The 27,235-nt window shown below is 40.6% G+C and overlaps 1 protein-coding gene and 1 long non-coding RNA gene across 7 annotated transcripts in view, besides 1 other annotated feature; one reads left to right on the top strand and one right to left on the bottom strand.

The window, feature by feature from the left end:
• The window catches only part of ARHGAP29 (Rho GTPase activating protein 29), a 145,688-nt gene that overhangs the window by 32,039 nt on the left and 86,414 nt on the right, over window positions 1-27,235 (top strand). For 2 of the 3 annotated variants that reach the window (XM_047434759.1, XM_047434754.1), the window contains one exon: window positions 2,152-2,230. The gene's annotated coding sequence lies outside the window, so the exon portion shown is untranslated. Of the gene's footprint in view, window positions 1-2,151; window positions 2,231-7,484; window positions 7,543-27,235 lie in introns of those variants that run through there. The other variant, XM_011542439.3, reaches the window with a different exon arrangement.
• The window catches only part of ARHGAP29-AS1 (ARHGAP29 antisense RNA 1), an 86,939-nt gene that overhangs the window by 52,253 nt on the left and 7,451 nt on the right, over window positions 1-27,235 (bottom strand). The window lies entirely within an intron of this gene.
• Window positions 10,850-12,049: an enhancer, noted in NCBI's record as "P300/CBP strongly-dependent group 1 enhancer chr1:94736061-94737260 (GRCh37/hg19 assembly coordinates)". NCBI's record gives its function as "activates an origin of replication core promoter dependent on BRD2, BRD4, P300/CBP, MED14 and CDK7 cofactors, with strong dependence on P300/CBP, by STARR-seq in HCT116 cells {active_cell/tissue: HCT116}" and the evidence as "EXISTENCE:reporter gene assay evidence [ECO:0000049][PMID:35650434]".

Here is a 27,235-nt window from a genome sequence, read left to right as displayed (position 1 = left end):
CTGTAATCCCAGCACTTTCGGAGGCCTAGATGGGAGGATCGCTTGAGGCCAGGAGGGTTGGGCAACATGGCAAAACCTTCTCTCTACAAAAAATACAAAAATTAACTGGGCTTGGTGACATGCGCCTTTAGTCCTAGCTGCCTGGGAGACTGAGGTGGGAGGATCACTTGAGTCCAGGAGGTCAAGGCTGCAGTAAGCCAGATTGCACCACTGCACTCTGGCCTGGGTGACAGAGGGAGACTTCGTCTCAAAAATAAATAAATAAATAAATAAATAAATAAATAAATAAATAAATAAAGCACTATCACTTGAAACCAGTGGTCCCCAAGCCTATTGGATTACAGAACCACCATGGAACTTTTTTTTTAAAAAAGACAAGGTTGTGGGCTCCAGTCCAGACTTACAAGATCAGATTCTGGGTGATAGGGCCCAGGAATCCATGTTTTTAAAAAACATAGATTTTTTAAACATAGATTTTTTATGGTGATTCTGATTGTCTGCCAACTTCAAGGAATATGGAGAGAATTTCCAGCTGTGGCTGCCTTGATCTCTGCCCTTGGTAAAAGGGCTCAACCTATACAGTTCCCCTCACACCTACAGCATGCCGTGGTAGATACTGAGGAGTGCAAACAAAGAATGTCCCATGCAGGAGTCTCAGTGATTGCATGTCCATCATAATGACAGTATTAAGCTCTCACATCCCCAAGGGAAAAAAATATTCCCCAGCAATGCTGCCAAAACTGCACTTATTACTCACAATTGAATTTCACCCACCCTGGCTGCACTCTGTCCTACTGTTTATACTCTATAGCATTTGCCCAACTTCATGTAACTGGTCTCTAATTGATTTTATCCAGAACCCCCTTTTCCTTAAGTGCTTGTGAGCAGTACCTACTGGGGGAGAAGTCTATGTGCACATAATTCAAATTCTAGTCACCAGTGATAACGCTATTATGTGTGATTGCAATTCTCTAAATTCTTTCATCTTATTTCCTGCCACCAGAGTGACGAATGCTTTGATATGTTCCTGAGTTTCTGTGATGCTCTGCCATGAAGTCCTGTAACTCATCTCACTGACGGTGTTGATCTCAAGGTTAACTTTACGTGCTGGGCTGTTCCCAGCAAGAGCAGCCTCTAGCACACCTCCTGCCTTGTGCTTGCCCAGCGAGATATGATAGCACAAGGGCCTTAATTCCCTCCCTATCATGCTGTCATGTTTGGCAAACACAGAGACTTAGTGTAATCTTAGAAAATTATGAATCTTTCTTTTAGAAAGGGAGTTTAAATGTGTGTATACATGTATCAATGTGAATGTTTTACAAATGCATATGTGTGAATACATGTATGTGTCTATAGGAGTGTGTGATACTAAGATGCATGTATACACCAATATACCTTAAGATGCAAATATTCCACTGTTTTTTGTGTCTCAAAGAGCAACATTATGACCATTTCTATATCTAATAATCATAACAGAACACAGTTGTCACTTATGGAGATATAATTAGCTCTTGAAAGGATTGAAATGTTTCTGTGTCACTGGAAGTGATATTCATCATTGGGAAGTGACCCCTAGAAATTCAGGATTGATGGCAGAGATGGCACAGGAGAATGGAAGGGAGGATGTCAGTCTTCTCTGCTTATCCCACCATTTTTCCATTTGTGAGGTCATTTGACAACTCCATCCTATCCTCTTAGTTATGTGGACCATGTAATAGTTTGAGAATTGAGTTGTAATTTGCAGAAAAGAACCAGGATAAGCTCTGGCCATTCCACCATAAATCCTGACCACAGCCAGCTATTACACATCAGACATCAAATTTCCCTTGTTCACTCACCGTTCCTGCCCTTTGCTACAGTTTGGCTCTCATCCATGTATTCATTTATACAGCCATGCATTTCATTTATTCATTCAATAAATTATTGCACACTTACTACATGTGGTACTGTTCTTTACTATGTTCTGCCAGGATCACTCTTCTCCTCCTTTAGAAATTCTATTCATCTGTCCATCTCTTCTAGTTAGACCTAATTTTTCCTCCTCCTTCCATCTCTTAGTACTTGTACATTTTGGTAGATTTTTAAAATTTTAATTTATTTTTGTTGCATTTTGTTTGATAATTAGTTTTTTGGTCTGGCTCTCTTCTCCAGCTGAAGAGGAGCTGTTGGAGGACAGGAAGATGGTCTGCAGCATTGTGTCTCCCACCCAACCTGGCACAGCCTTTGGCAGGTAACCTTCCATAGCAAAAGTCCCTTGAATTGAAAAGTGAGTGAACTGTTAAGGAACCTGGAGAGGAAGATGGAAAGGTTGGAGGCTTCCAGGGATCTCACTTGTGTCCTCTTGTTAATCTCTCCCACAGGCCATATAAGCTAGCCATCATGAGTGTGGTAGACTCATGGAATTCACCATTAAGAAGTAAAGAAATTTAATTTCCCTGAATTGTACACTTATAAGTGGTTAAATGATAAATATTATGTTATATATATTTATATATAACATAAAAGTACTGTATCACAGGAAAAGTACTGTATCACAGGAAAAAACAAGTACAGAAATATTTTGCTCTGGAGTTGGGGAAATAAAAACTAAAAGAACAAACAACTTGCGGGCACTAGCAGGAAGGGAGGCTGTTTCAGGAATATGCTGTAAAAAAAAGTTGGAACCAGATTAGGGAAACCTTTGGCCCAAAAGAGCAATGCTCATCAAAGTCCCAACAGAATGAATAGAAAGACTTTGAGGGAAAGACTCAAGGTATAGTGAAAGCCCAAGTCAAACCCCTAAAGGGGTTACTCAGGGCACTGGAGTGGGAATGGGTGTAGAGGTGCGGCCCAAGGATAAACACAGAAATTTAGGCCAGAAAAGAGATTCTATGAATATACTTATTCAGTGAGTCACAGAACAATGAAGCATAAGTATGCATTCAACCAACATGGGCTAAAGGCCTACTCAGGCCACTTTTAGCCATAGAAGAAAAGATGCAGTCACTTCTTCATGGAGCTCCATTCTACTTGGAAAGGTAGCAAGTTAAATTAGTGATTTTGATATGATCTGAAAAGTACTGTAACAGAAATTGTGTGTTAAATGCAATGGAACATACTGGAAGGAGAAATTAGTGCCACCTCTTGGGAGTCAGGAAGAAACCTCATAGAGGAGATGACATTTAAATATGCTCTTGGAAGTAGAAACTTGTCAGGGAAGTCAGAGAAGAGAGGCAGGGCATTCCAGGCAGAGGGTCTAGCACAGACAAAGGGGCATGGAATTGCACAGCAAGTAAAGTATTGCTTCATACTATAAGCAGCTGTCCACTAACTGCACAGAAATACTAATGCTGCTGGAGATTAACCATCTGGAGGATCTTCACAGCTGCTTGTTGGGAACCACCATGTTAATGGACAAAAGGAAACCATGAGAAGTATTATAGTGAACCTAGCCAAAAGGATCAAAGAAGCTAGAAAGTAGGACACTGTCGTCTGACACCTATAGATGAATGTTAGCCAGATTAATAACAAGTTGTTAGTCACTACTTTGATTCCTCACAAGGGTAAATTGATCAATACCAGGTTATTCTCCCATGCATCAGATGTTAGTACTTTTCCTAATGATCACTGAAATCACATTTGTGCATTTCTCTAAACCAAAGGAGGAACAGGAGTTATACCAGGGGAGAAGCCCTAATGCTTGGAGCTGTTAAGCATTTGCTTGTATTTATTGACAGTTGGGTTGATCCAAAACCCATCTTTCCAGGCTGGCATGCATACTTAGTAATTAAAGCAGGATTTTATATGGCTTGAAATATTTTAATGTGAATGTATCCTGAGGGACCTCAGCAGAGACTTTCGTTTAATAAATTTAATAACTAATTAAGACATCCTCAACTTCAACCTCCATTAGGTTAACTTTTTAATGAGTTTCAGAATGTCTCTCAAGACATTTCTTCCCTAGATGTGGTGAGAAACACACATGCATACACGTGCACCAGGTGTGGATTTTAGCCTTTGATTTGCCGGCTACTAATTGTGTAACCTTGGTAAAATCACTGAGTATCTCTGGGTTATTCTTTCCTTCTCCATAAAAGACATGTTTACATGAATCTCATTTTATGAATCTCAAACAGTCTGATGGCTTTGTGTAAGTAGTAGAATTAGAATTGGGTATGTTATCAGTATGCAGAAATATTCCTTGAAAGAGTTTCTTAAAGTTAAAATTAAAATTTAATAATAATTTTTTTTTTTTAGAGACAGGGTCTTGTTCTGTTGCCTACGCTGGAATGCGGCGCCATGATCATAGCCCACTATAAACTCCAACTCATGGGCTGAAATTATCTCTCTGCCTCAGCCTTCTGGGTAGCTAGGACTACAACTGTGTGCCACCACACTTAGCTTTTTAAAATTTTTATTTTTGTAGAGATAGGGTTTTGCTCTGTTGCCCAGGCTGGTCTCAAACTCCTGGCCTCAAGCACTTCTCCAACCTTGGCCTCCCAAAGCTCTGGAATTACAGGCATGAGCCGCTGCATCCGGCCTACTTGAAACATTTTATTAACTGACCAATATACCAACAAAATGTGTAGATAATCCAAAGCTACTGAGATGTGTCTATTTTTCAAAAACTACTTAGCCCCTTTGCTTCTGAGGGTTTGAATTGTTTTCCCTTCAGTAGCTATACCTTGGAGAACCCATCAGCAATTGATGGAGACTGTCACCAATCTGCCTCCCTCCAATAAAGATCTTAGACTTAGGGAAAAGCAAAACACTAGCCTATTCTTCTTCCTTTCTTCCTCCCATCACTGTGTCAGGCCAATCCCATCATGGAAAATTTACCTTGATGGAGAAGGAGGAGGGAATTGCAGAGAAAAGGAAAGAGGAAAATTAAAATATTAACTTCTTTATATGCTAAAATAGAATGGTCCTCCTCCTTCCCAGTCAGACTTGGGTAGTATAATCCTCTATTTTTTTTCTCTTCCATACTAATGGTGAACCTGATCCACCTACAAAATAATTGGTACTTTCAAAAAGTAACTTTCATAATATATTTAAAATACTCCTTACATATACTTTTTATAATAAATTTAAAATGGTAAAAGTAGGCATTTGCTTTTACCTTGAGCAGTAATGTGGAAGGGAGCATGATCTGAGGGAAAATAAGGTCTGAACTGTCTCATTCAGTACAGCCAAATGTTGATCGTCCAAATCCATGACAAATCTGCCTTTCAGTTTCTTTGTGACATTACTCCCTCCCTCTGCATATTTAACTCATCTTTAAGAATGAGAAGTTGGCCTGCTTTCCAATTTCCTAGGAACAAGATCTTCCGAGAATGGCAACACTATTTTATTTAAAGTCCATTTGAATTCCCAGCGTTTTAGAGAACCCATATTCAATGTTAGAATAAAAATACATTCCAAAGTAAAATGAAAAAGTGCACTCTGCTCCACAGCCAATGTACTATTTGGGAAAGTTCCTGCTGTGTCGAAACTGGTTAGAAGCAGGCCTGTTTTCCTTTGCAGTATTCATAAAGGCCACAGTAACAATTTTGGGGTCATAGCTATGGGGAGTTACACCCACAGGCTGGATAGCACGAAGACGCTTAAGTTGTATTTGTTAGGTAAAGTAAGCTGGCCCTTTGCAGTGCCCGGAAGCCAGGTGATACATTTTATAAAAAAGAAATTAAGGAACATACAGGATGAGAACTTTTTTCCAATATGCTAGTAATAGGAACTACAGTGAATAGAGAATTGGGACACAGTCCTTTTTTTTTTTTTTTTTTTTTTTTTTTTTGAGACAGGGTCTCACTCTGTCACCCAGGCTGGAGTGCAGTGGCACAATCATAGCTCACTGTAGCCTCAAACTCCTTGGCTCAGGTGATCTTCCCACCTCAGCCTCCTGAGTAGCTGGGACTACAGACACACGCCACCATGCCCAGCTAATTTTTGTATTTTTTGTAGAGATGGGATTTTGCCATGTTGCCCAGGCTGGTCTCAAACTCCTGGGCTAAAGTGATCCGCCTGCCTCAGCCTCCCAAAGTGCTTTGATTACAGACAGGTGATTACAGGTGTGAACCACTGTGCCCAGCTTGAGACTCAGGACTTCCTAATGCTTCTATCTTTAAAAAAAAAAAAATCTAAAAACCAGCTCTATATATGAACAATGATAGCTTAATATCCTTTGATATCTCTGAGAGTGCCCCATCAGACCATCTTATTAATATCTCTGCAGTCTAACAAGATGCTCCCCTATCCTATGCTCTGAAGTTAAGCAATAACTTAATATCCAGATGGCTTCCAAAACTTTTTTTTTTTTTGAGACAGAGTCTCGCTCGGTCACTCAGGTTGGAGTGGAGAGGTGTGATCTCAGCTCACTGCAACCTCTGCCTCCCAGGTTCAAATGATTCTCGTGCCTCATCTTCCCAAGTAGCTGAGATTACAGGCATGCCCCACCACGCCCAGTGAATTTTTGCATTTTTTAGTAGAGATGGGTTTTGCCATGTTGGCTAGGCTTGTCTCGAACTCCTGGCCTCAAGTAATCTGCCCGCATCAGCCTCCCAAAGTGTTAGGATCACAGGCATGAGCCACCAATCCCGGCCCCAAAACTTTTTTTTTTTAAGGTTGAAAACCCTTCTGCTAATCTTGTAGCTCTGTTTCTACCCAAATGCCCTGATTTGTGATAGAAGCTGAGAATTCTAGGTCTTTGGAGTAACAAAAAACCCAAAACCCAAAAACTGACCTAATTTTTAAAGCATAATCAAGAAATAGGAAACTTTCTACCACTCCAACATATCTTTTCTTCTTTGTTCTAACACACTCTCTTATATGTTCGTATGTTCCTTTTTTTTAAAAAAACCCTTTTCCTTCCTTTGCTTATAACATCTGCCAACTGGAACTCAGTAACCCTACTGGACACTAGTTTAAACCAACGCTGGGGCTAAGAAGACTGCCAACCAGCACCTGTCCTGAACCTGAAGGCATGAAGAATTCTCCTGTGTTTTGCTAGGCTCAATTTATACACAGCTACTGCTCTTTTACTGTGTAAAGCATGCCTGAATTGAGCATACAGGCATCATCCATCCAAGATTCACATTTTTGTTCTGTTACCTAACAAAGAGGAACTCCTGACCATTCTTCAACATATTAGAGCAACAAAGTTGACTCCCACACATCAGCCTATCAAACAAACCATTGTCTTTACATGGTAGTGATGGGAAGGTAAAAGTCATGGTAAACATCCCTAAAACCATTTCAATTTTCCCTTCCTTCTTAGTAAGATGTTTGTAAATGTAGCCATGGCAATAAATAGTTGGCTGGAAAGGCTAAATGCATCTTTAGAAATCCTCCCGGCCAGCAGTTTCCAAACATGGTTCATGCACACCAGACACACTTGTGGAGCTTGTTTTAAAGTTGGATTCTCATCCACTCAACAAGTACTTTCTAAATCGCTAGGCTCAGAGTTCTAGAATGCTATTCAAGTAAGTAGCTCATAGACAGCCAGATTTCAGAACCCCTGGTAGGTTAATCCAGGCTTACCCACTTGCTCTACATGCTGCTCTTTGGGTGAGTAGATGACAACTGAGTTTGAGCACTATGGCCTCTTAGAGAGGGTCAGGATTCAAGGCAAAGCTAGAGAAAACAAGACCCTTAAAAACGAACTGGTGATTTATTTGAACAGATCTCCAGGTGACATTGGCAGGCCCTGGTTCATGAGACTGTAAAGGGCCTGAGCTTGAAGCCCATGGAGACCGGACAGCAAGCTGAAGCCATGCTCCAGCTGTTGCTGTTTAACCTTTGCTCCTGGAGAGTGGAGCTGGGTGGTGGGAGCAGAGAGTTGGCAAAGGACCATTGGCCTGTACTGCCAGAGGCCTCCTAATTGCCCAGGCCAGGTTTGTTGCCCTTTTGCTATGTTTTCTTGGTATCCCAATCCCTGCCCCATAATATAGCACTTATCACAGTGTATGGAAACAATAACTCTCTATTTACTTGTCTTTTTTCCCACATTAGACTCCATTAAGGTTTCTGTGACCACCATATTGCCAACATCCCAGCAATAAGCACTTGACTGATATTTGCTGAAGGAATAAGTTTTGTAGCTTAGTTAGATTCAACTCGGTTAGAATTTCTCTGTAGGATTTAAAATACACTTACTTTGAAAGTAACTTATGTGCTTTGCAATTTAAAACATGGTGCCACCTAAGAACGAGAAACATTCACAGTGATTAGGCCCACTAACCAAATCTAGCTGGCCTGTTTTTGTAAATTAAGTCTTACTGGACCACAGTCATGCTCATTCATTTATGTTATCATTGATGGCTGCTTTCACGATACGACAACAGAGTTGGTAGTTGCAATGAAGACCCAGAGACTGTAAGGCCTGCACAGCTGAAAATATTACATCTGGTTCTTTATAGAAGGGTTTGCCAACTCCTGCCCTAGAATCATGTGGAACTGACTGTGTGACAGGTTGGGCACATTGCTTAGCGTCTCTAAATCTTGGTTTTCTTATTTGGATAGTGGGGATAATAATGACACCCTGTCTTACAGCGTTCTTTTTTGGAATAAATGGGATAATCTCTATAAACCTGCCCATACTAGGTGTTCAGTAACTATTAACTGTTATTTTTATAACTTTAAAACATTTGCCTACATTCTTTCTTGTCTTTTTTTTTTAATGCTACTGCTCATCTGCTCTTTAAATTTTTAATCAAAATAAAGCCAGAGCATTCCCTAGCCTTAATGGAGGCACTGACATTTGAAAGAACTTAGGGTTCAATCAGGTTTTGGTGACTAAACTAGTCAGTTTCTTAGAAAAAAAAGACTAAAAACTTCTCTAATTCTATAAAAAAAATCCAAGGCAAGATCTTTCAGATGTTTAATAAACATGCTGTGATATGAGATGTTTGTTTTGCACAAGCTTCAGTCATAATAGACGGAAGTAGGACTTGACTTCTTATACATTTATCCCCTAATTGTCTATCTATCTTACATATTATTTCAATTGCCTCTGAAACCAAAAAGCCACAGCAGTTCTATTAAATTTCTTTGAAAAATGCAGAGGGTGGAGTAGTGTGGGAGGAAACACTGAAAATATCAAATGGTTTTTTGTATCAAGAAAGTTCTGAGTGATAAATAAGAGACCAAGCCAAGAATTTCCAAGGGTATCTTTTACTTAACTTTCAACTTTGATTGCTGGAAAGCTTACTGACCACTTTTGTTAAAATAAATTGCTTAAGCCCTTTAATCAGAAAAACGTCCTGCAGAGTACTGCAGACTAGCTCGTGCAAAGGAGGAGAGCGTTCTGACTCATTTGATATTTACTTATTTCTCATTCTGATCATGGAGCTTAAATGGAGTTACAGTTTTGCCTTTAGTATTCAGGATTTCCAAAGTCTTGGCATTGATCAAGACTGTCTTACAGGAATTGACGCAGTAGGCAACCCCCACTTTCAATCCTTTAAGTACTCATCTATCCATCTGAGGAGTTACCTGCTTGGTCACAGTGTCCAATTGACCATAGCAACAAGAATTCACAGTGTTTGTTAATGTATAAATCTATTCTCCAAAAGTTACTCTACAGTCTGGATTTGTATAATTGGGACATTTACATGCTAAGTTAGAATCTGTCTACATTGAAGATACTTTTTTCTGGAATTTTATCTTCGACTCCAAGAAATAAGGTCCCTCTGCTCTGGGTCATTTTGTGTCCTCCAAGAAGCAGTCGCCAAAAAGGAATTAGACACGCATAAGATCTACTGGGGACAAAGCCCATGAAGGATACAGGGGCAAGGGAGCAGGTATAGGTGGGAAGAGCCTTCAGACTGTGATGCAGGTCTGACCTCCGTGGAAGGAGAGAAGGGGAAGGAGAATTGTGAAGAAGGAACCTCAGACTGCACTGCAACTTGCCACAAGTCTCAGCCAGGCCAGTAGAGAGCTCCAGAGCTGAGATTATTCATCAGAGGAGTGTCATGTTAGGCATAAATGACCCAGCTGTAGTACTTCCCATTTCAATCACTGGCTTGGACCAGCCTAGGTAGACTGTGACCTTGAAGTGAATGCTTGGATGTATTCAAAGATGCAGCAGCTGGAGGCTGTTGGCTGCCTACCTCCTTGCACCTGGTTATCCAGAAGGGAGATCTGAGCAACACACTTTCATGGTCACCACAGTCTAGCCTTCACCTCACAGATCCCCTTCTCCACACAAGTTCAAGGAGCAGCTCTACCATGGTTCCCATAGTCCTGTCTTCCTGAAGAGAATCTTAGAAAAAGGAGGTTAGTGGGACAAACTATAGTCCCATAGTCCCATCTCCGCAGTTAGTCTTAGAGCCAAAGTGACACTCACCCTCTCCTTCCTCTACTATCCAGGCTAAGTCTCTCTTACCCTCAACCTTTACTTCAACAGGCGTTGGTGGCTCTCCTGGTGGTTAACCCTAACCCTCTTCTCTGAGAGATCTGAGCTGTTGGTGTTCATAGCCTTCCTATACCAGGACTGCTGTCTGTGACCTTTCACACTTATAATTGAGTGAGGGATTATCAACAGGTCCCCAAGTGGATAACCTGGGCTCATCCCTGCCCCCATTGTCTAAAAGCAGCTCCATTTCTCTTGCTGATCAGGATTAATTACTCCTGCCAAGATGGGGGCACTTCTTACCTACTTGCCTCTGGACACAAAGGTTCCAAAGTGTGCAGGTAGAAGCTGCACCTTGTACTTCAGTGGAAGTCTTTGCTCTGTCCCCTTACTTCAAAGGAAGTAAGAGAGTGCTTCCTTTGGGGAACAGAACTTCGAATCCTGAAGAGTCCAAAATTACCAGAATGAGTCATTCAGAGTAATGGTGAGTGAGACTACTCCTGTTCCACCTTTTGTATTCTTCAGAGAGGGGATGCAGTCTCATAAAGACGTCCTGTGTCCTGAAGGATGGCACTCCATCTGTAGGATATTGCCACCAAATTGGCACTTGAGCTGCATGTTCAGTAGGCCATTCCAATGTTTTAATGGGCCACTGCTACTGGTCATTGCCCAGGAATCTGTTTTGTGGTAGACAGTTTCTAATCTGGCTCCTAATAATCTTCTCTTACGGGGAGAAACAAAAATGAAGCAATAGAAAATAAATATGTCTATCAAATAATGAAAAAGAAATAATCTTCTCTTACTAGTATTGGTGTCCTTATGTAATCCCCTACCCTTGAGTGTGGACTGGACCTAGTGACTTACTTCTAACAAATAGAACAAAGCAAAGGTAATGGGACATCACTTCTGAGATTAGTTACAAAATGGCTTTGGTTCCATCTTGCTTATCCTCTTTTATTCTCTTACTTGCTTACTGTCATAGAAACCAGCTGCCATATAGCAAGCTCTCCTATAGAGACCCATGTGGTAAGCAATTGAAGGAGGCCTCTGGCCAACAGACAGCAAGGAACCAAGTCGCTCAGTCTAACATCATGTGAGACACTGAATCCCATTAACAATCACATGAGAGAGCTTGGTTTCAGATCGTCTCCCTCAGTTGAGCCTGGAGATGGCTCCAGCTCAGCCAACATCTTGGTTGCAGCCTTGTGAAAGCCCCTGAGCTGGGGGGTCCAGCCAAGCCACACCTGGATTTCTAACCCACAGGAACAGTGAGTCATGTGTTATTTCAACCCCCTACATTTTAAAGTAATTTGTAATGCAGCAATAGATGACTAATATATATTCCCATTTGGGGCCATTCTCTGTCTTCACAAAGTGGGTATTCAAGTACACTGCTTGGCAGCTCTGCCCATTGGGAAAATTTACTTTCTTTGTTGTCTTTCAAGTTCGTCTCTGATGGTAGCAGTAAGGAAGCTGCTATCCATTTTTTACTTGCTCCCACATGCCAAGCTCATCTGTCTATAACCTAAGCTTAGGCATTTTCCTTCTGTTTAAGCTGATCATGTAGGGATCCCTGCATGGCATAGGTGCCAACTGAGGGAGAGGTGCTGGTGTAGCTGTGGTCATGAGGTCCTGGGTCACCTGCTCATGAAATTTACTTGGCCCTCTGGTGCTGTTTGGGCTGGATACTGAATGTACCAGTTTCATCTTTTAATGGACTATTGCTGGGAATGTCTGACTGTATGATATGGCAGCGCCAAAATAACTCAACTCATAATGGGTAGTTCCGGGTACCTGGCATCCCATGGTCACACATTCCATGTCTGCCAGGGCACAGTTACACACATCAAGAGCTATTTCTCAAAAAGTGCAGAACCCAAAAGGCTCATCAGACTCTGTGCTTCCTAATGAGTAGAGAAGGTAAGATGTAGTGCTATGTCTCTTGCTTTGGAGGTAATCCCAGGACATCTATGACCACTGGACCCCAAAAACTTTATTGAAGTGGCAGATCCCTGAATCTTGATAGAGTTTATTTTCCACATTCTAGAGTGTATGTATCTGACCAAGGTCTCCAGCATGCTAACCACCTCTTGTTTTTTTGCCTGATCAGCATGAATTTATCAATGTCATAGTGTTTTGAGGGAAGTCTGGATTGTGCAGCTCTCTTTTTCAGAATATTTTATGACAAATGATTAGGATAGTTAACGTAGCCTGGAGCAAAACTGTAATATTGTTGTCCATCCCATTGATTTTCTCCAATTTTCATGTATGTTGATCTCAATTTTATAACTGGGGACTACGAAAATGACCTCTATCTGGATTCATGGGCCCAGCAGACCCCCCAGTAAACGGAGCTTCAACCAGGACTCTACTTATAAGCTCATGCACTTACCTATTATTTATTCAATTGTTGACTTTATGTCTCCCCAACTAGAATACAAGCTCTTTAAGAACTATGATTTCGTCAGCTTTAGTCCCTACTATACCCCCAGCACCTTTAACAATGCCTGGCACACAGTAGGTGCTCAATAATTGAATGAATCTATTGCATTATTATTTTAATTTGCATTACTTCAATTATGAGTAAGATTGAATTTCTTATTCTGTAAACTGTCTTTTCCTTACCATCATTGTTATTAAAATATATTAATAGTAATAATAATAATGATATATTTTGCTCCCTCTGTTTCTGACCACAAGCAATTACCATCTCAGAGCAGACAAAATGGATGGTCCTATCCTGAAAACCTGACTGTCTCAGGGTGAACTTGGCAGTGGTCTAGATTACTTACAGACTATTAGTATCTCCTAACTGCTTGTGTTCCTTTAGCATCCTGTTGTCAGCTATAATGAGGCACTTACACTGCATTATAATCGCGGTTTAAACTTGTCTGTTACTTCCCCTAGATTAGATTCTTTAAAGGAAGGAACTTTGTCCTTTCGTCGTCTATAAGCAGAACCTAGCACAATGCCTGACAAATAATGGGACGTGAATAAGTTAATTACATGAATGCTCACGAATCAATCAATCAAATGAATCCAGTCAGGGCTAAGCAGCAACTAACAAGTTTAATTTAGGTAAAAGCAGAGAAATCCTAGAGAACTCATTACTCTGTGGGATATGTGATGAAATAGCTATTTCTTTAGAAATAAACATTCCCTCAAAATAGAAAAGAGGAAAAAAATACTATGCTGTTTGAGAGATTTAAAAGTTATTGCACCATTAAAAAATATAACCTTCTTACATATGTATATGGATGTGCCTTTATATGCATATTATATATGTATAATGTGTGTATATATATACATACATACAAAAATAGTCACTACTAAAGTTTAGTTAGGCTTAGCAGGAAGACAAATAGAGGTTAATGGCTCAGGGATTTGTCTCTCTCTACATATATCATATATCATATGCACATATATATATATATATCTTCTTGAGCCCAGAAGTTCAAGGTTACAGTGAGCTATGATCAGCCTGGATGACAGAGCAAGACCCAGTTTCTAAAAAGAAGAAGAAGATAATCATTTGATAATTTAAGAACATCTAGCTTAATAAATATGCCAGTATCTTCATTCAACAAACATTCAACCAATACTTATTGTACTTACTGAACTCTTACTGTGTCCCTGGCACTATTCTAGTCACTTGAAAGTATTAATGAAGAGAAACAGAGAGAGACAAAAACCCTTACCCATGTGGAAACATACAATAAACAATAAAAAGTATGCAGTATATTAGACAGTGATAAGTGCTGTAGAAAAAAAATTGAGCAGAATAAAGTGGGTTCAGGGATGCCAATGTGTGTGTGTGCTGGGGGGATGTGGCAGGAGTAGGGGAGGGTGAAAGTTCCTGGGACTGGGGAGTGGTAGGTGTAGGAGAAGGTAGAAGCTTGCAGAATAGGATGATCAGATTAAGCTTTGTTAAGAAGGTAAGATTTGAACAAAAACTTAAAGAAGAGAAGGGACTTAGTAAAGCGGATATCTTTGAAAACAATGTATTGAATATTGTCTATGGGTCTTGCCATGTAATACAAATATTTAAATTAAACTAAGAGTTTCAAGGGCTATATTCAAAATGAATATCTAAATTAAAACAGACACACTAATTTTAAAAATAAATGTATTAAACAGAACTATAATGAAATTTACTAGTTTTTTTGTTTATCAGAAGAAGTTTATGTTTGCCATGTGAAAATAATGAAGAGAGCTACAGAAAGGGGAAAAAAGTAACAGAACAAATATTAGCACCACCAATATGCCAAAAAAATGTAGTTATTTCATCTAGCAGCTTGAGCATCCAAGGTCTCTTATTATATAGTGAAGACTGGGATAGTTCAAAGGAATGCAATAATACAACTATTATTTGGGAGGCACTGGCTATTAGATATGCTCAGTGTTAAGCCTTTTTCCTGGATTATTTTATATAGTGATCTCAAGTAATGCTCATTTGATGAATGAGAAAACTGAGTCTTGGAAAAGTTATGTAATTTACCCATGATCACACAGTTAGCAAGTGGCCAGGTCAGGATACGATTCCAGATTTGTTTGGCACTGGAGCCCACTATTTCATTATTTATGTTATGCTATCTTTCCACAATGTTTTATTATATTCGTGTATAAAATGGAAGATTAAACATAGGTGAATTAAATTTTCACTCACAACTATTATTTGGGAGGCACTGACTATTAGATATGCTCAGTGTTAAGCCTTTTTCCTGGATTATTTCATACAGTGACCTCAAAGAATACTCATTTTATGAATGAGAAAACTGAGTGAGAGAAAGAAAAATGAAAATAGGATTTGACAGTCACATTACACTTTTACCTGATCCCAGTACTTAACATAGGTCACTCAAGGATATTCATGGCCACAATCCATATGCAAGACTTGTGACACTGTAGCCTTTGGAAACCAAAACTATAGACCACATCCTAATTGAGAACACACCAGCAATGACTTTCCAGAATTTGGGATTACTAACACACCTGTTGAGGAGCTAAGATGGCCCCATAAGGTCCCAGTTTTCTACTTTAACAGTCCATAGTACTTTGAGACTCCTTTGTAGAAAGGCAGAAAGAAAATGCTAACGAGGCAACTGTCCTATTTCTAAGCTATGGGAGTAATTTCAACTTGAGATATAGTGTTGCATAAGCCAAAGATGAGCAAAATCCTGAGGAAGGCATGATAGCATAATAGAAAGATCCCTGGATTGAGAGCAGATCTGACTTCTTGTCCTGGCTCTACCATTAACTCATGTGACCTTGGGCAAGTAAGTCACTTCACCTCATTGAGCCTTAGTTTCCTCACATGTAAGATGTCCAAAGTTGTAAAGCTTTAAGAATGTCAATAGGTGTGCCTCCTTTAGGAGATAATGATTGGTTTTCGCAAATAGTTGATTTGTGTATGTGTCTCTGGAACGTGAAGGCAATCAGAAAGTTTGATTCAAGTCACTTAGGATGGAAAACTTCAGTGCTAGAGAGGCTATGAATACTAAGAGATAAGTTACCATGAATTTAATAAGGATGGATTAACAGGTACTCCACCTGAATGGTATTCTTTAGAACCAGAGTTATGGGAATGAGTTGGTTCTCCCAGCCTCTCTCTGTGTTCTACACCCTGAGCCCCACCACAATGCAGGTGAAAAGAAGCAAAGGCCATAGTATGAAGGGGCTCAGTTCATGAAGGGGGAAGGAAAGAAGAGATGGAAGAGGTAAGGAGTTAGCTCTTCAGTTAGCACAGTGAGCACACTATTCAGAAAAAATTAGTCCCTATCAGGAAGAGAGACTCAGAACTCCATTCAAAGCTCCGATAACTCCCCAACATAATTTGGAGGTGAGAGAATATTGATTTGTTGAGAGGAGTTTCTGGACTAGCACGGGCCCCAGGAGTTTCTAGTCTTTTTGTAATCAGGAGGAAACCAAGGAATAAGCATGCCATAGAAGGAGCAGAATGACAGTGACCAGTGTTCATTCAATGCCTGGCTTTTGAGCCTGGCTGACTCACTGCTCTGGACATGCCAGTCCATTTGCCTGTCATTTTCTATTTTCCTGCTAGCATTGCTGTAGAAAGGCCAGCTCTTCCTCTTATTCTAATCGCCTGAACCCTAAGTAGATTTCGGTTTCCTTTAATCAAATGCAGCTTGACCAGAAAGAACACCACCATGTGCCTTGCCCTGCTGGCTCATAAAATAGCCCAGAAACAAAAGCAATGTTTCTTCCCAGTCTCCCTGCATCACATGCTTGTTCTATGCCAAGTCTATAGCAGCTGCTAGAGTGGAGGGGCACCAGACACTCATGGATTTTTGGACTTTGGCTCCCATGAACCAAGAAACATATCCTCACTCTTTTGATTTTGGTGCTCCCCCATTCCCTCTGGTGAAATAGCACCCACAGCCTCTCACCTTGTAGAACCTACTAAGGTGACCAGTCACCCCCACCCTTGAAGCAGGGTGATTCAGACATTCAGCAATAGGTCTAAGGAAAAAGTCACTGGAGTCTGGGGAGCAGAAGCAGTAGAAAGGTGGGAGACCCCCACAACTGTTAGATAAAAGCACCTTGGTAGCTTTTCAAAATTGGTAACATAGAACTGGGTAAGAACACGCTATAGAGGGATGATCAGGGCATTCCAGGCAATAATTGCTGGTGTATTTCTTAGAGTTTCTTCAGTTCTGAGTGGCTGCCCCTATTATCCACTTTCCTTCCCAAGGTATGTCCCTGGAAAGGATTTGCTGGAAAAAGGATGGTCTGAGACTGGACTGCCCATACTCACATATTAGGCCCCACATTCTCAGTAGAAAACTGAAATTGGAGGGGTTAAAATATCCTATCCACATAGCTTCTGGAGCAGGGCCAGAGCCAAGGAGGAAGCAGGCCCATCAGGAATGCGAGGTCATGCCTGCCAGGGCAGCTTATAGATTCAGCTCACAGGGAAGCCAGACCCGGTCAGCAATGCCAAGGCAGAAGGGGAGCCAAACTGGGCACTGAGATATCATATGGTGGGCCAGAGGTCAGAAGCAAGTCAGGATGCTGAAGCCAGAGATGGAGCTTCAACAAAATGAGTCAGGAAGGACCTAACAGAAGTAGGGAAGGGCTGGGATGTCTGGGGAGTGGAATAGAGTTCGTTAAGATGCAGCTGGCAAACTGCCATGGCCCTTCTATGCATAATTAATACACTCCTTTCATATTCTGAAGCAAAGTCTTGAAGTATCAGTTTCTCACTGGGCTTGTAACATACGGGCCAGGGCATGCTGGGAATAGTAAAGCCTTGAGCCAAAGTGAAAGGGAGTCACCAGAGTCAGGGGCAAAGCTAGGGCAGAAGTGGCAACCCAAAGGAGGGGGTGGCAATAAGAGACCAAGATTAAACAAATGCATAGAAAATATAGCCCCATTTCACAAGTGCCAAAGTCAAAGCAACGACTAATACAGGAGATCAGCATAAGGGATCAGTGGCCTTGGCAAAGACCGGGGATGGGGTGAGATGGAGGATTGTGACATGCAAAGCTAAATCATCTGGGGAAGTCTATCTAGTAGAAGGTGGAGAAGAGCAAGAGATGACCAGGTGACTGAGCCCCAGGTAATAAGGCAGGCCGAGATGATGCAGAGAAAGCAAATATCAGCTTGATGGCAGAACATAGGATGGGACTCCCCTGAGTGAACTCAAGAGCCCAAAAGAAGCAAGTGGAAGGCAGCCACAGATGGGCATCCAGGGGCATTAGGGAGAACCACTGCCCAAACACACCAAAGCATCTGTGTCTTAGGTTTCAGCCTGTGAGCCAAAGACCATTTCCAGACCCCTACTGATTAGTAGGGGAGGGCTGTTGATGTTCTTCCCAAATGGAGTCTTCTCAGTCTTGGGACAGAAGGTGCAGGATTTGGATGGTTGAGCACCAACCATGAACAATGGAGATGAGATGAGAATTAACACAGAATCTAATGCAGAAAGACTCAGAGAGGAACCAAAGAACTCCTGAGGCTCAGTGAGAATTGTGCTAAATCATGGAAGAAAGAAATCAAGGGTTGCCATAGTCAGATGGCCATTCTACCGCCATCTCACTACAGCTACTGCCAATATGCTACTGCCAAGATTGTGAATAAGTTTGTTCTTTCTGGAGATCAATTTGGCATTACGTACGAAGAGTTATAAAAATATACCCAGCCTTTGACCCAAAATTTACACTTCTAGGGATCTCAACTAGGGAAATAGGATTGATGCAAGCTCGGTTTTAACAAGGATGCTCACCACTGTGTTACTTATACCCAAAGAACATTGGGAACAATACAAGCACTCAATAGCAGAGAACTTTTAACTGGCTAAAGTAAGGAACTTCTAGAAGATGAACTATTATGTGGCCACGTTAAATCATGCTCTTGAATGGCATGGGAAAATGTTTATATTATAAAAAGCTAAGTGAAAAATGACAGAACAAACCAAAGTACATAGTGGTGTACATGGAATAATTTCAATTTTGTGAAAAATTTACATATATCCACACAGGAGAAAACATTGACTGAAAGGAAAAATACTGAGGTATTAATAGTCACTATCACGGATAGTGATATTATATATTATTTTAGAATTCTAACCAATTTTCTAAAATGAATCTTGTATTATTATAAGCAGAAAATATAAACATATTATGTAAAACCCAAGGGGAAATAGGGAAGGGAATGGAATTCATTACACTGAAGGGCTCTGCCTCCTCATGTGATATTTCATAATTATGCATGAGTACGTGGTCTGCATGATGTCTAACATTGTTAGAGCACTGCATTTTCTGATTGCAGATGAAAACCAGATGCACAAGACCCCAAACCTTTTTTTTTTTAACTTTTAAGTTCAGGAGTACATGTGCAGGTTTGTTATATAGGTAAATTTGTGTCACAGGGGTTTGTTTTACAGATTATTTCGTCACCCAGGTATTACGTCTACTACCTATTTATTTTTCCTGATCTTCTCCCTCCTCTCAACTTCCACCCTCCAATAGGCTCCTGTGTCTGTTGTTTTCCTCTATGTGTCCATGTGTTCTCATCATTTAGCTCCCACTTATAAGTGAGAACATGCAGGATTTGATTTTCTGTTCCTATGTTACTTTGCTAAGGATAATGGCCTTCAGCTCCATCCATGTTCCTGCAAAGGACATGATCTTGTTCTTTTTTATGGCTGCATAATATTCCTTGTATATATGTACCACATTTTCTTTATCCAGATTACCGTTGATGGGCATTTAGGTTGATTCCATGTCTTTGCTATTGTGACTAGTGCTGCACATGAACATATGTGTGCATGTGTCTTTATGGTAGAACGATTTATATTCCTTTGGGTGTATACCCAGTAATGGAATTGCTGGGTTGAATGGTAGTTCTGTTTTTAGATCTTACAGAAATTGTCTTCCACAATGGCTGAACTAATTTACACTCCCACCAACAATGTACAAGTGTTTCTTTTTCTCCGCAACCTTGCCAGCATCTGTCATTTTTTTGACTTTTTAGTAATAGCCATTCTGACTGGTGTGAGATGGTATCTCATTGTGGTTTTGATTTGCATTTCTCTAGTGATCAGTGATGTTAAGCTTTTTTTCATATACTTATCGGCTGCATGTATATCTTTTTCTGAAATGTCTGCTCATGTTCTTTGCCCACTTTTTAAGTGGGTTGTTGGTTTTTTTGCTATAAATTTTCTTAAGTTCCTTATAGATGCTGGATATCAGACCTTTGTCAGATGCATAGCTTGCAAACATTTTCTTCCATTCTGTAGGTTCTGTTTACTCTATTGATAGTTTATTTTGCTGTATAGAAGCTCTTTAGTTTAATTTCCATTTGTCAAGTTTTGCTTTCGTTGCAATAGCTTTTGTCATCTTCGTCATGAAATCTTTTCCCTCTCCTATATCTAGAATGGTATTGCCTACGTTGTCTTCCAGGGTTTTCATAGTTTTGAGTTTTACATTTAAGTCTTTAATCCATCCTTAGTTGATTTTTGTATATGGTATAAGGAAGGGGTCCAGTTTCAATCTTCTGCATATGGCTAGCCAGTTATCCCAGAACCATTTATTTACTAGGGAGTCCTTTCCTCATTGCTTGTTTTTGTCAGCTTGCTTTGTCAAAGATCAGATGGTTGTAGGTGTGTGGCCTTTTTTCTCAGCAATCTGTTTGTTCCATTGGTCTATGTGTCTGTTTTTGTAACAGTTCCATGCTGTTTTGGTTTCTGCAGCCCTGTAGTATAGTTTGAAGTTGGCTAGTGTGATGCCTCCAGCATTCTTCTTTTTGCTTAGGATTGCCTTGCTTATTCAGGCTCATTTTATGGTTCCATACGAAGTTTAAAATAGCTTTTTCTAGTTGTGAAGAACATTATCAGTAGTTTGATAAGAATAGCATTGAATCTATAAATCACTTTAGGCAATATGGCCTTTTTAATGATTTTGATTCTTCTTATCCATGAGCATGAGATGTTTTTCCATTTGTCTGTGTCATCTCTGATTTCTTTGAGCAGTGTTTTGTAGTTCTCCTTGTAGAGAACTTTCACCTCCCTTGTTAGCTGTATTCTTAGGTATTTTATTATTTTTGTGGCAATTGTGAATGGAATTGCGTTCCTGATTTGGTTCTCAGCTTGACTGTTGTTGGCGAATAGAAATGCTAGTAATTTTTGTATGTTGATTTTGTATCCTGAGACAGCTGAAATTATTTATCAGCTTAAGGAGCGTTCAGGTCAAGACTATGGAGTTTTCTAGGCATAGGATCATTTCAAGACTCCAAATCTTAACCTTACTTCTAAACTACAAAATCGTCTTAATTTTGTTGAGATGTAGCTACACTTGACCTGCACGCATAACACAGTAAAGCCAAATGAGACCCAAACTTGTGATAGTAAACACAAATAAGTGTTTATTACTTCATTATGTTCAATTATGGAGATGAAATTACATTAAATGAGATCAGTGTTATAATAACCTATGTGCCTTGATTTATAAAGCATGTCTGAGCTTCTGCAGCAGGTGAACTGGAAAAGGGGAAGCTACAGAGCTGAGGTAAGAAGGTCTGGCCAAGCAATAGTAAGGGACTTTCCAAGTGTTGATGTCTAAGAGGAGAGTGTACATTCAGAATCTCTGGATAGTTTCCAAAAAGTCCAATCTGATGGAATTCGGTAGTGGAGATGGTGGTTTCATGGCCTGGTTTTTTAATGTTTCAAGAACAGAGACACATTTACCTTAGTTAATGGGGGTGCAGAATTAGGAAGGTGGCATTGCAGGGATACACAGGAGGTTGTAAGGAAGTCAGGAAACACTCAACAGCTGCACAGCTATGCCTCACAGAGACCAGAACATAATTTATAAGATAGAAGCTGCTTTAGAACACAATGCAGTTTGAGTTATCCTGTGGGCCCTCAGACACCAGCATCAGCTGCCTTAATGCTCTGCCACTTTTATGATGATGCAGCTGTTCTTGTCTCTGTTTGACTATTCCTGCCACTACCAGCCAACTTCCTTCATTTTTCTTTGTCTCATGGCCTCAGCTCACTAATGGCGCCTGCTATCACATGGTTTCTTTTTCTGTGTGTCTTTCCAATCTCTCTACCTACTACCAACAGCAAGTCCCCCATACCCCTACAAAGCATTCTATTTAAACTCTCCAAGACAGAAGGTCCTATTAGTGCTATTGATTATTCTTTCCTTCATTAAGTAAAGCTTCCTTGCCAGATTACTCCATAGAACACTGACAGGCCTACAGACGAGCTGCTCTTGGACCAGATACCCAAATTTGATTGAATCAGCTGAGGATGGGATATAGGAGCTTGTGACCAGCTTTCTTCAGAGTTGCTATGGGCATTCCAAAATTGAAAGTGTAAGAAATCCCTCTGCAATGCAGAGAGTCCATCAGATTTGAGGCAGGGCCCCTCTGGGGGTAAGAGAAAGGAAGGGATCTGTCTTTAGAGAAACGAAAGCTGGTTTGGTTGTCAGAATCGTAGTCTCAAAAGGGAAACTGAGCCAGAAGCCCCTCAGATAGACAGGGCAAACATGGCAGAAAATGGGAAAAGGCTACCATATAATGCACACTCGAATGTCCATGGCTCATCCCAGGCATAACAGATTTTAGGCTTGTGATGACGTGGCAAATGGTGGTAGACATTGGTAGATGGACTTCCTAAACACAAGCAAGTCTTGCTCAAGATTAGATCAGAACTAAGCCATTTTGAATCAACACATGGAATGCCTCTGGTCCTCTACAGAAACTCCGTAGAGACTTTTGCATTATGCAGGGAGGACACTTTTCCTCTCTGAAAAGTTCATTCTTCGGCCAACAGTGAGTCAGAAAATGCTCTCTGAACTTTTGACTTGGGAGCTTTGAAATTTAAACTTCCAACACAGATTCCTGTTCCATCTTGAAAGGGCATTTTAGTATTTAAATTTTTTTCTTTATCATGTGTATTAGTTTCCTGTGGCTGCTTTAACAAACTACCACAAACTTGCATCACTTAAAACAACAGAAATGGATTCTCTCACAGTTCTGGAGGCAAGGCAGGCCCATGCTGCCTCTGTAGTCCCTAGAGATGAATCCCTCGTTGCTTCTCCCTAGTTTCTGATGGTTGCCGGCAATCCTTGGTGTTCCTCGGCTTACAGGTACATTGCTCCAATTTCTACCTCTTCCTTTATACAGGTATCTTCCCCTTGTGTCTCTGTTTTCTCTTCTTGTACGGACAACAGTCACTGGATTAAGTCCCACCCTAATCCACTATGACCTCATTAGAACTAATTATATCTGCAAAGACCCTATTTCCAAACAAGCTTACATCCTAAAGTTCTGGGAAGACATGCATTTTATGGGGACATTATTTGATCCACTACAACATGTCCAATCTTTGGTCAAATTAATACTAGAACAAAAATTCTATGCTTTTCCTAGTCTCTGTTGGATGAGGTATATTCATTACTTGTATTTCTAAAATGGATACAGGTCACAGAGATGACTGGAATTGTGAAATCTCAAATCTTTGACCAGCTGCCCATCACTGGCAGAGTTCCAAGGAATCTAGGCAAAAGGGACAGACACCTAGTAAAAGAACACTCCTTATGACTACTTGGGAATTTGGCCCTAAACCCCACTGCCTGTCCCCACCCACCCTTGTTCTAGAGATTTGGGCTGAACCACTTGGCCTGTGTTCTACATACCTGAATGAAAGCAAGAAAATATCTTCTTGCAGACTCAGAGTCAAGACTTTATGATTTTCCATGGTGACAAGAGCTCAAAAATGACTCACCCAAATGAAAAACACCACAAGGGAAAGAAAAACTTGATCTCTCTACAGTGGGAAGCAGCAGACACAGAGGATAAAGATGTGGGTTTTTTGAGTCAAGTCTGACATGAGTTCAGATCCCTGGTTTTGCCACTTACTAGCTGGGTGAACTTGTTCATATTAATTAGTCTCTTTAAGTCTCAATTTCCTCGTTAGAGCAATGGAGATCATAATATCTTCCTTATAGGTGATTGTGAAGAGTAAATAAGATAATCTATGTAAGACCTTACTACATAGGAAGCGCTAGTTATAATCATTACTAAGGCCTTGAACAACTGGCCTAAACTGCCCCTATCAGGCCTGTTGTCTCCTGGACCCTTCCCTGATTACCACTGGAACTGCCTAAAGCAGAAGGCTTTCCCCTGTGGGAGCCCCCTAAGACCCTCTCTCAACAGCCCATGAGAGCTAAGGTCTCCAAAGAGGGAAGGCAAAGAACACTGTGGTATCAGCTAGAGTTTCTAACTTACAGATGACAGACTGGCAGCTCTCAGGCCAGATTCCACCTCTCATGATTTTTATTTGGCCTGGACAATTTTAAAAATTTGGAATTTATTGTCCACATTAAAAAATTCAGAAATGTTCTATAAAAATCCAAATTCCTGGCTTAAAAAATTGAGAGACCAGGTAATACTGAGCATAAGTTCTCCTATGACTAGAGGGCACATTTACTGTAATGTACAAATTGGCACACTTCTGAGAGTGAGAGAAGGGTCTATCAATAATTTTACCTGAACAATTAGTGTTAACTGAAACTGTCCAGGGCAAATTAGGAATGGTCATGTTACCCATGACTCCAGTGGTCTGGAGGTAAGTAGGAATGGATACTTCCTGCAGGAGGTCTTGTCTCTCTGTTTGTCTAGGGTTTTGAGTTTTGAGCTTCTATTTTAATACTTTGTCATATCATACCTAATACTTGGTCCTCCAACACCAGAATCCAACATCCCTGATCGGGGCTTCTATCATCATCTTCCTTCTCTAAGAAGGAAAAGGTATGGAGTGAGTTATCAAATCAGTGCATATGCTGGACTTCATTCAGGTGCTCTCAGGGGTTCTGATAAGATTTCCAATAGGGCACAGACTACCTATACAATGTTGGCAACACTCTGTCATCATCCAGTGCCTATTAACTAGTCCTTGCTGCTGTTATAGAGCATATATCATTAGGATAATGTCACATGTGTCATAGATACATTGGAAGCTTTTCTTCTCCTTCTCCTTCTTCTTCTTGAGACAGGATCTCCCTCTGTCACTCAGGTTAGAGTGCAGTGGAACAATCACAGCTCACTGCAAGCTTGACCTCCCAAGCCAAACAATCCTCCTACTTTAGCTTCCCAAGTAGCTGGGACCACAGGCATGTGCCACTATGCTCAGTTAATTTTTTTTTTACTTTTGTAGAGACAGGGTCTCCCTGTGTTGCCCAGGCTGGTCTCAAAATCCTGGGTTCAAGCAGTCCTCCCATTTTAGCCTCCCAAAGTGCTGAGATTACAGGCATGAGCTACTGTGCCCAGCCAAGATTCTTTTTTTTGTTGTTTTTTGAGACAAAGTCTCACCCTGTTGCCAGGCTGGAGTGTAGTGGCCTGATCTCGGCTCACTGCAACCTCCACCTCCAGGGTTCAAGTGATTCTCCTGCCTCAGCCTCCCGGGTAGCTGAGACTACAGGCGTGCACCACCACACCCAGCTAATTTTTGCATTTTTAGTAGAGACGGGGTTTCACAATGTTGGCCAGGATAATCTCCATCTCCTGCCCTCATGATTTGCCTGCCTCAGCCTCCCAAAGTGCTGGGATTACAGGTGTCAGCCACCATGCCCGGCCCAGCCAAGATTCTTGAAGTGTCTTCTGAATCATAAAAGGATTGGTTTGAGAGGATCATAAATCAATTCTTTGAAAATTCTTAATTTTCAAACAGCCTCCATCCAATGAATGAATTATGTTTTAAAAAGTTTGCTTCTAAGTCTAGCATAAAAAACCTGAAAAGTATATACCTATAGGAGCAATGTTACTTCCCTATCCCACACACAAACATACACGAAGTAAAATAAAAAGTAAACCATAGAATATATAAAGATTAGTACTGTTGGGCAGGCGCGGTGGCTCACGCCTGTAATCCCAGCACTTTGAGAGGCTGAGGCGGGCGGATCACGAGGTCAGGAGATCGAGACCATCCTGGCTAACATGGTGAAACCCCGTCTCTACTAAAAATACAATAAATTAGCCGGGCGTGGTAGTGGGCGCCTGTAGTCCCAGCTACTCGGGAGGCTGAGGCAGGAGAATGGCGTGAACCTGGGAGGCGGAGCTTGCAGTGAGCCGAGAATCGCGCCACTGCACTCCAGCCTGGGAGACAGAGCGAGACTCTGTCTCAAAAAAAAAAAAAAAAAAAAAAAAAAAAAAAAAAAAAAAGATTAGTACTGTTAAATCTATTTCTGGTTTTGGTTAAATTGGAACTCTGTATTTATGTAAGAGAAAGTATCTTCTAAACAATTATTCTTAAGAAATTCTGACCCAAGTTCAGTAGAAGGGAGGTAACTTATGAAGGGGTTCTGGGGGCATTTTCTTTCTCTGCCCATTTGTATGTGCAAAGTGTTTATTCATGTAATATTTGTAGGGTAGATACAATCTGTGTAATAAATATCAAAGCTCTTCATTATCAAGAATATTTGATGAATACAGAAAGTCATTCCTTGATTAAAATGGATTATTTAAAACATACAGAGAGGAATAGAACTAACTACCTAGAGCTGGTGGGTATGTCGGAGAGAGTCCTGCTTGAGGAGACAGGTGACCTTGCTTTGAGTTCAATCTCTTCTATTAACTTGTAGTGTAATTTTGAGTAAATAGTTCACCTTCCTTGAGATACAGGTTTCTTAGTAGCTGAATAAGGATGATAACAATAATTCATATTTCACAGACTTGTTTTGAAGACTGAGTTAATGTGTGTAGCAGAGCTTTGTGTACTGTGAAATGTTATAGAACCAAAAAAGAATAGAAAAGTAAGCTAATGCTTATTGAGCTCATATTATAAACCAAGCACAGTGATGGAATTAGTATTATTAACTAACCACCAATACCAATTGCAATGGCAGCAACAGTATCCCTAAAACTGCCACACTAACTCTTCCTCTCTTAGATACAAATGAAGAGACCAGGGCATCCCTTCAACTCTGAGCAGAAACGAATCAATCTCCTCCCACTGAAAATTCTTTACTTACAGAACACCAGGCTTGTAAACATCCTGCCTTCTCATTTTAATGACAGTATTACAATGGATGTGATGCCTTATCCTGGGCCACACCCCAGAGTAGGAGTGATATTGACTCATTGTGTGACTTGTGAATATTAGGAAGAAATGCCGCACTTAACAAGTTGGATAATGGCAATTTGCAGCCACAGGTGGACTAACATTTCTACAGGGAAGGGAAGAGGATGGTCCTGGATCCAACTAGAACCCATCAGTGCTGTTATTATTTAAGTCCTGTCATTTAAATAGTGTTGCCTTATGTGTTACTCTGCTAGGACTGCCATAACACAGTACTGCAGACTGGGAGGCTTAAACAACAGAAATTCATTTTCTTACAGTTCTGGAGGCTAGAAGTTTGACATCAAGGTGTCAGCATGGTT

The sequence above is a fragment of the Homo sapiens genome, chromosome 1 (assembly GCF_000001405.40).
Source record: "Homo sapiens chromosome 1, GRCh38.p14 Primary Assembly".
Taxonomy (NCBI): Eukaryota; Metazoa; Chordata; class Mammalia; order Primates; family Hominidae; genus Homo; species Homo sapiens.
Note: the sequence above shows the minus strand (reverse complement) of the source record. Positions and strands in the feature narration are given on the sequence as shown.